Source organism: Homo sapiens, chromosome 2 (assembly GCF_000001405.40).
Source record: "Homo sapiens chromosome 2, GRCh38.p14 Primary Assembly".
NCBI lineage: Eukaryota > Metazoa > Chordata > Mammalia > Primates > Hominidae > Homo > Homo sapiens.
In genome coordinates, this window is record NC_000002.12 from 35,623,862 (window position 1) to 35,634,219 (window position 10,358).

At 36.8% G+C, this 10,358-nt stretch overlaps 1 annotated feature.

Annotated features, from left to right (window-relative positions):
* Nucleotides 354–855: an enhancer, noted in NCBI's record as "NANOG hESC enhancer chr2:35849281-35849782 (GRCh37/hg19 assembly coordinates)". NCBI's record gives its function as "activates a minimal SCP1, AML or CMV promoter by ChIP-STARR-seq in primed H9 embryonic stem cells {active_cell/tissue: H9 hESC(primed)}" and the evidence as "EXISTENCE:reporter gene assay evidence [ECO:0000049][PMID:30033119]".

Consider the following 10,358-nt stretch of genomic DNA (forward strand, 5'->3'; position numbering starts at 1 on the left):
GGTGTTAGACATTACATACTGGAGTGAGAGATGAAACAGGAAGAAAATTTTACGATCATTAGTCAGGGAGCACTGATCAGAGTACAACTGGAAGTTCCATATCTTTGCCTTTAAATTTTTGTCAAAATGTACATGTTCTGGATCATTAAGAAAAGAACATTCAGTACAGCATAAAGTACAAGTCAGTGAGACCCCACTGGGTTCTACGTTCTTCACAACTTTTTTTTTTAATTGCTCTATGATAAAAAAAATTCTCATATATTTTATGAACTTTGCAAAATAGTGATACAACTTTCTCAAGGAGGACTTTGCTAACATACACATATCTTTAATCATATTCCTTAAGGGAGCAAAGGAACCAACTTCCTGATTCAATAGGAGGGTTAAGATGCTACTTTATAAGCCAAGTTGTGCAGCTCTTGAATCAACTGTGTGACAGATGAAAGTGTGTGTGTGTGTGTGTGTGTGTGTGTGTGTGTGTAGCTGTATGACTGTAGGATGTTCTTGGGTCACCTTGCTCCTACTACTGTTGTGATGGCTACTCACACAATGGTTTAATTCAGTCTGGCTCACCAAGAATAGATCTCTCACTTAGCAATTGTTTTCAATAAGAAAAGAAGTACAAGGAAACCTTGGAGGTGCTCAGTTCAGGCATGTGAGCCATTGGAGCCTGTGCCACAACAGGCCCACAAATGATAAGCATGCACAACCGATTGCACAAAGCCAGGGGAGAGACAACCGGGGTGATGTATGTATAAATATCATTCAGTGCTGGGTTTAAATTGAGCAACATTGCAAAGGAGCTTACACAGTTTTTTGACAGACTATAAATACATTGTCACCTACTGTTTGTAATTGAAGAATACATTTACTCATCTTTTTTCCTATTGGTAATGGAAATTTAAGCCCTGCCAATAACTATTCTCCCAAGGACAACCAAAGAAGGATGTAAAGTGCTGTGATTAATAACAGGATTATTTAGTTATGTTTACAGAGCTAGGTGTCCAAAATTTCACGCAAAATTATTAAAATCTCTGAATAAAAAATTTCCATCATGGGGTAACTCAATGCCCACCTCACCCCCAAATAATAATAAGCTACAAAGAGAGATATAGAATCTAGTTTCTGAAGAACACTACAGTTAATTTCTTCATTGATTTGATCCTTTTTAACCCAGTAAAGAGGAGAAAGGTAACTACCATTCTTTGCTTTGTCAAATGTATATTTAATTTTTGGTATATATGTAGATAAGCTGGTGACTTAGCCCTACCCTGAACTATAGAAAAGAATTTATAGTTCAGGGTAGGGCTAAGTCACCAGCATATCTAGATATATACCAGAAAATAGGCCTACAGAAAGTTGTACATTCAGCAAGACAGTTGTGTAGTATAAAACAAAAATATCAGCAACCATTTTATGAATCAATTAAAGAAAGTAATGGATTATCAATATGCAGCTCTTACATCTAGAATCCAAATGAAATATATATACCATTGAAACAAAACAGTAACGTTGCCAGAAACCTCTTCAATTATTTCTGCTAGGTGGGCATCTACTCCCAGGTGTGAGGTGCTTTTGGCTTGCAAAACTGTAGACTTGGAAAATGGCCACATTTGTCCAGAACAGAATTTAAGAGGAACATCAGCTAGGATGCAAGAGCAGATGCTAACACAGCATTGGGAAGAATAACAACGTGAATATTTTGAAAGGGAGGCCCTCTGGGTTTCCTGGGCCAGTGGTTCTGAACTCAGGGTGATTTTCCCCCAGTTGACATTTGACAATGGAAACATTTTAGATTGTCCCAAACTTGGGGTGCTGCTGGAATCCATTACAGTAGAGGCCAGAGATGCTGCTAAACATTCTGCAATGTACAGGGTGGCCCATCACCCAAAGAATTATCAAGCCTCACATGTGATTAGTGCTGATGTTGGGAAATCCTTGGTTAGCCCAAAGGCAGTGTTATTGCAGTGGAAAAAGAATGCTTCTAAACATTGTCATTTTGTCTGTCTGATCTAGTCAAATTAAAACTTCTTGCAGGTAGGGAATTTGTCTGTATTGCTCACTGCTTTATGACTAGCACTTAGGACAATGCCTGGCACACAGTAGCTACTCAATAAATAAGAAATGAATGAGTTGAAGATTGAGAAACCACAGCAGGAGAGGCCTTGGCAGTGTTCTATTTGAGCTGACAGGGACCCCTGGAGTGTCAGAAATAAGTGTACTGGTACCCTAAAACTCCTAACACTGTCCACCTTGTCTGAATATCCTAGGAAACTAATACAAAGAGCTACAGCTTAAAAAAAATAGAACAGATAATGTTTTGTACTGTATATATTTTAGGGGTACGACACAATATTTTTGCATACATATATATATAATGAAATTATTACTACAGTCAATCAAATTAACGTATCCATCATCTCACATAGTTATCTTTCTGCTTGTGTGTGTGTGTGCACATGTGTGTATGGTAAGAGCGCCTAAAATCTTTCTTAGCAAATTTCCAATATGGAATACAATATGCTAGCTAGAGTTCTCATGCTGCGTACATTAGATCTTTTGGCTTATTCATGCTACATAACTGCAACTTTGTACCCTACATCACCCCATCCTCCTACCCCTTGCATCCACCATTTTACTCATTATCACTGTCTTATACCTCCACGTCCTATCCCATTGGAAGGTCTTCAGGGAAAGATAGTAACAGGCACGGAGCTGTTACCTCCTATGATAACAATGCCTTCTTGTGGAATACATCCTGAAGGACTTGCCAGAGGCTGTTTTACAGTTAACTATTTTCTTTCTGTAAGGAGTACACTCCAAAATAACAACTAAAAGTGTGTTACAGTAAATACTAAGTGACAGGAATTTTTCAGCTCCATTATTATCTTATGGGACCACTGTCATTTATGTTGTCCCTCATTGACAAAAACATTGCATGTGATGTATGACTGTAGTAAAAATAGGCATTCTTTAAAGTCAAACAGTTTGATGTAAATATTATTAGATTGGTGCAAAAGTAACTGTGGTTTTGACATTAAAAGTAATATATCTCGCCATTAAAGACATTTAAAAATTATTCCTCAATTCATATTTGTACTAAGCATTCATTTTTACAACATTTTTGGAAAATTCCTGGGGCTAGGAATAGGAGCACAACTATTACTGAGACCAGAAGCCAGAACTGCCAGACCAACATTCATACTGAGAAAAGGATAATGTAGTCCTATGTTGCCAGAACCTGTCCTAACTGAATAACATGAGGGCTGGTTTCGAGCCATCCTTTCTTCTTTCTCAAATCATGATTTGTAATCAAGGGTCTTTAGTCTTTGTCTATATTTAAGTGATTTTATATTATTATCGATTGAATGCGTGTGTCCTCCCCAAATTCATATGTTGAAATCCTAACCTCCTTCCACCGTGTGACGACAGAGTGAGAAGACAGCCTTCTATGAACCAGGAAGTAGGCCCTTATCAGATATCAAATCTGGCACCTTAGTCTGGGCTTCCCAGCCTCCAGAAATGTGAGAAATAAATGCTTGTTACTTAAGCCGCACATTTTATGGTATTTTTGTTATAGCAGCCCAATTAACTAACACATACTTAACACCACTGGTCTTTTTACTATAGTTTTCTCATTCTTGAATGTTTCACTTTAACCTATTTTCTCATTAGCTGGATTTGGTTGTTGAGTAGTTTTCTTTTGGGAATTTTGGTTTTCTTTGTTGGTCAGCAAGGACTCAAGGATATTTTATTCCCTAAAGGATCTCAGGGAAATCTAAATATCTGAAAGTATCTGTCCGTAGCTTTTACACCTGGATGAAATTTTGTGTATGTATTCTAGTATGATACTTTCTTTTTCTCAGGATGATGTGTTTCATCATTGCCTTTGGGCTTTGAATGTTGTTGTAGAAATGTCTAAAATCGGCTTTTTTTTTTTTTTTCATCTTTGTTAGAAAATTTTCTTCCCAGAGTTCTTTTTGTCTCTTCAAGTTTGGTCTCTTAAATAGTATAATTCTCTGTGTTAATTGTCTGTGTCTATTATAATTTGAACACAATTTTTGCTTTTGACCAGCAGATTACACTCAGAATATTGTCTTCTGTTAAATTTCAACATTCTCTGCTCCATTTGTGTGGTTTTCTACTTCTGAGATATTTATAATAGATTATTCCTCTTCCATATATTATTCTATTCTCTATAATGTGTGTGCTCTTTTCCTTGTTATTCAACTTTTAAAAAGGCAAGTTTGTCTTCTACATAATTTTTTTTCTCAGGTGTGTCTAGTCTGTTCATTGATATTTTGAATTTCTTAATTAGCTTTTATACTGCAGCTCATTTGGCTGTCAGGTTTGCTTTTGCACTTAAGAATTATTATTCATTTTAGTCTGTTATCAATTGTCTTATGTTTCAGCTCTGATATTTTGTTTAATATACTTACTACATTCTTTGCTAATGAGTGGCTCTCTTGGGGAATTTTCTTCTGCTTCTTGGACTTATTTTCCATATTGGATTATTTATCTGACTTATTAGCATGTTAGGTTTCTGTCCACCCTGGCACCCCTTGTGATGGCATATTTACAGAGTTGCTATGATTTTCTTTAGAGTCACCCCCGTCACCCCCTTTCAACTGGAACTATCTGTTAAGATTATCTACGTGCTATGTAGGTTGGGAATGTATTCTTCTCAGCCCCTTCCCACAGCCTCTGAGACCGACTCTACAATGCCTTCCATCTACAGTTTGTGGTCTGAGCATTTTATTCTCTGGCCATTCTTTTCTGGGCCTCAGGATTTCAAAGCAATGCAGAGCAAAGCAAAGCTCAGCACTGGTTATATTTTTTGCCTTAAATGGGATTAAATTGTACAAACTTCTCAAAAAATTTTTCCCACTTCACACTATGTCTTAGAAATCATTCCATAGCAATACATTTAAATTTACTTCATTATTTTTTTGATAATTAGCTGCATAAAACCTAACTAAAGATACATGGATAGTCAAGTTGTTTTAAAGAGGGATTTGATGATGATCATAAACATACAGAATAAAAATGATTGGAAAATGTAAATTCAAAAATGATGGCTGGGGAGAAAACAGAATACAAATAGGAGAGTAGGAATCATACAAAAGAATTATGAATGAATAAATTAGTCATGCCATCATCTCAATTTTCTTTTTACATCTCTAGTTATGCCATATTAATTACAGTGCAGAATTTATATATGCACTACAATTTTCCTAGCAGCTATTTTTTTTATTGATATCAACAGTGACTATAGTACTTTCACAAAGTGGGATTATCACTTAAATTTTATTTTATGTAAATTATAGTTCATTCAACATTTTACATTATTTGTTATTGTCTCCCTTTACATGAATTTGTTGGTTTGCCTAATCCATTTTTTTCAACTAAGCTCATTGGTGGTATATTTATATATGCAAACACATAGGTATTCCATACACCTTTCTGCTCCAGATGTTGCTTATTGGAAACCTGCTTATTTGCTTTTGAATATCTTAATAGTAAGTACAAACATGGATTTTCTTATTTTGAGAGCATAAATAAGACAAATAATTTATCAATAACATTCTACTGGTAATAAAACAGAAAACAAATTACCCTATCTTAAATCATACACTTAAGAAAATGCTGTAATTTTTGTAAAAGTTTGAATGTAGTAGTTGATCATTACAGAGTTTCTTAATAATTTTTTTTTTTTTTGCCATCATGCCCATCTTTTCAGGCCTACTTTTGTTTTCTTTTGTATTTTTTGAGATGGAGTCTCGCTCTGTTGCCCAGGCTGGAATGCAATGGTGTGATCTTGGCTCACTGCAACCTCTACCTCCCGGGTTTAATTGATTCTCCTGCCTCAGCCTCCCAAGTAGCTGGGATTACAGGTGCATCCCACCATGCCCGGCTAATTTTTGTATTTTTAGTAGAGATGTGATTTCACCAAACTGACCAGGCTGGTCTCGAACTCCTGAGCTCAAGTGATCCGCCCACCTTGACCTCCCAAAGTGCTGGAATTACAGGCATGAGCCACAGCACCTGGCCAGTCCTACTTATTTTTTAACCTTTCCACTTTACCACAAGCAATACCATGCCTCTTATTCCTCCCAACTTTAGTAAACTTTTGGCCGATAGTGATAGCAATTGATGAGTAATTCAAAGAATACTCTGATTTATATCTCTTTCCTCCTGTCTTATTTGAAAAGCATATTGTAGATAATATGGACTTCGTATTTTCCTTTACTATTGTTAACTTTAATGAAGTAAATTCTACCTCAAACAATGGTTTTCATGTTCGCCAACAAGTTTACTTGAGAAGGCCCTTACTATTGTCTATTTCTATTAATTACTTAGTCTTCTCAGGACAATTCTCTATCTTTCATAGTCAATTGTCTTTCCCTTCCCACACACCTCCTTACTTTTCTCTCACATTCCATTTATCATATTTAATGCTTCCAAACTCATCAGATATTCTTTGTTTTATGTTTTGAGAGAAAGTTTCACTGAGTTGCCCAGGCTAGAGTGCAGTGGCACGATCATAGCTCACTGAGCCTCAAACTCCAGGGCAAAAGGATCCTCCCACCTCAGCAACCCCTCACCCAGAGTAGTTGGGACTCCACCTGTGTGCCACCATGCACAGTTATTTATTTATTTTATTTATTTTTTTAGGAACAGCTTTTTGCCATGCCATGTTGCTCAGGCTGGTCTCAAACTCCTGGGCTCAAGTAGTCCTCCCACTTTGGCCTCCCAAAGTGCTGGGATTACAGGCATGAGCCACCATGCTTGGCCTCATCAGATATTCTTAAGGTAATGATCATGGTTCACTATACCCAGGAAATGGGACATTATAAACTTTCAAATCATATTCTAGAAATTAACCCATCTGTGTCACCTATCTAAATAATCCTTAGAAGTTCAAATCTTCCTAAATCTGTTAATCTTCTGCACATATCTACTTAATATTCTTTTTCTCCAGTATCGTTATTTATGATCAATATAAAACAAAACAATATGTTACTATAATGTTTATTTTATAATTTATGTTCATGTATTTGTTTCTAAAATTTTGATTCTAGTATGTAGTCATTCAACCTATTAGAAAGTAAGTATATGTATTATGTATGAGCCAGCTTGGGAGACTACACATATATATTTAATTGGTTTTTACAAGATATGAGCCAAGAAATACATCGATGACCTACAGATGAGTTGTATTTTTAAAATGTACTCGAACATTGCAGATTCCACATACAGTGAGCTGTCCTCTGTTACGATTTTGGATGTGAAGTAAAATGCATCATTCTGTTGTGTGAGTAACAGCCTCAGAGATGGTGAACTAGACCCAGGAAGGGAGAAAGCAAGTTAGAAGGTGGATCAAAGGTAGATCTGTGTTAGAAGTGTGGTGGCACTGAATTTAGCAATATTTAAGGAGATTATGGAAATTCGTGTGAATTACAGACAGGTGAGGAGGTCAATTTTTAAATGACACCATTCATAGCCAAAGTTCTGTGACAACATATTCAGAAATTGGAAGTAAATTCTAGTCTAGTAGATGAGTTTTGTCATGAGGGATTCAGATATGGTCAGAAGTAGATTAATTGTACAAACAGGGAAGCAGGAAGATTCAGGGAGTCAGGCAGGAACAGGTACTAGAAACCATGGTAAGGCCAAAATCTAAATAGATTTTTTGTTAGAAAAGAAATTGATATCCAAGTAAAAGCGATGCATGTAGGCTGTAATCTCTGGGTATGAGTACTCATTTCGTGCTTACCCTGTTCCTGCAGAAACAAATTATGTATTAACTCTCCCTCTCACTGGCCATTTCTTCTGTGAATAATTCCCTCTCTCCTATCCCCCCTCCATAACTGTGCATTCAATATATCTTGTATTCTAAGATGTTGCTTATCGTACATTAATTAACATGTGCTAATTTATCATTAATGATATATTTTTAAATTCTTTTATCCACAAGGTAGAAACTTGTAATCGATTTTCTATCAGTAATATTTCTCTTTCATTTAAACACTCCTGATTTCTGGGTATATATCCCTTTTAAGCTAATGAGAAGAGCTTTCAGCTAACTGACTTTTGCTGCAGTTGAAATTTTCAATCTCATCAAGTCTCAACAATCTCTCTTCCCTACACAATGCAAGAATTTCAGTCCCATCAACATTTGTAATTTATTTAAAGCGCGTTGCAAAAAGAGCATAGGCTATGGAGTTAAACCACTATTGTTCAAGTCTCCCCTCTCCTATTGAGTAGATGTATAACTTTAATTCAGCCACTTCACCTTTGTAAGAACTTTCAGCACTCTCGCCTGTAAAGCAGAAATAAAACTAATCACATTTTAGGAATTTTGTAAAGGTTACACAAAATAATATACATTAAAATCTTAGCATATAATTAAAACTGAAAAGATCTTAGAAACTTGTCCCTTTTACTTCATCTCTCTCAAGTTCAAAGTTCCACAGATCTCTAGGCAGGGTCAAAATGCCACCAGTCTCTTTGCTAAGGCATAGCACGAGTGACTTTTATTCCAGTTCCCAACCAGTTCCTCATCTCCATCTGAGAGCACCTCAGCCTGGACTTCATTGTCCATATCACTATCAGCATTTCGGTCAAAGCCATTCAGCAAGACTCTATGAAGTTCAAACTTTCCCACATCTTCTGACCTTCTTCTGAGGACTCCAAACTGTTCCAACCTCACCCTGTTACCCAGTTCCAGAGTCACTTCCACATTTTTGGGTATATTTTTATAGCAGGATCCCACTGTCTACGGTACCGATTTGTTGTATTAGTCCATTTTCTTTTTTCTTTTTCTTTTTTTTTTTTTTTTGAGACGGAGTCTCGCTGTGTCTCCCAGGTTGGAGTACAGTGGCGCGATCTCGGCTCACTGCAAGCTCCGCCTCCCAGGTTCATGCCATTCTCCTGCCTCAGCCCCTCCCAAGTAGCTGGGACTACAGGCGCCCGCCAACACGCCCGGCTAATTTTTTTGTATTTTTAGTAGAAACGGGGTTTCACCGTGTTAGCCAAGATGGTCTCGATCTCCTGACCTCGTGATCCACCCGTCTCGGCCTCCCAAAGTGCTAGGATTACAGGCGTGAGCCACCGCGCCCGGCCAGTCCATTTTCATACTGTTATAAAGAACTGCCTGAGACTGGGTAATTTATAAAGGAAAGAGGTTTAATTGACTCACAGTTCAGCATGTCTGGGGAGGCCTCAGGAAACTTACAAACATGGTGGAAGGCAAAGGGGAATTGTGATTTATATTGAAATACTGCATATAATATTACTGCTGTTTGATTTTATACATTCAAAAGTTAGACATAGCAAAAAAAGACCTTTATATTACATAATGCAAGATCATTCAACAATGATCTCCAAAGAAACTTCTAAATTAAAAATTCATAGAGGACACAGCTGTAAAGTGTTATGAATCAGATTAAGCAAATATATAAATAAAAGAATTATATTCATCTCCACAAAAGCCATATTTTGAAAACATATAATAGCTCATCTAAAATGTACTACACATTTTCTAACATAATATATTTAAATATCAGTGTTTATTAAGCAATATTCGATGTTACCTCGGTGAAATAATGAAATATTGAATTTATTACATCATAAAAGATAACAGAGAGGCTTAATACAAAAATAACTAACTAAATGATAATGACAATTTATTATGTAACATTATAATTTGCATTCCATGATAATCAGCAGCATATTTTGAAAATATATTGAAAGAATATTAGTGTCGGCCGGGCGTGGTGGCTCACGCCTGTAATCCTAGCACTTTGGGAGGCTGAGGCGGGTGGATCATGAGGTCAGGAGATGGAGACCATCCTGGCCAACATGGTGTAACCCCATCTCTACTAAAAATACAAAAATTAGCTGGGTGTGGTGGTGCATGCCTGTAATTCCAGCTACTTGGGAGGCAGAGGAAGGAGAATCCCTTGAACCAGGGAGTTGGAGGTTGCAGTGAGCCGAGATCGTGCCACAGCACTCTAGCCTGGTGACACAGCGAGACTCCATCTCAAAAAAAAAAAAAAAAGAATATTAGTGTCTCTGTGGAAAGGCAATAGTCATAAGAAGCCACCACTAACTTCATATTTCTAAGTAACACTCACAGACGGATGCTGAAAGGCATACAGAAGAGTTAACTTTAAACTTGATGTTTTCTTGTTGTTCTTCTGCATGAGTGACCCTATCGTAAGAGGAACAAACTATTAAGCTTGAACATTTGTGAACATAGGTAAGGACTGACAAGAAAGAAAACAACAAAGTTATGTTGACAAGCATCGGACTATGGAGTCTTTTATAGGGCTTTGCAGTACATAATATGCAAT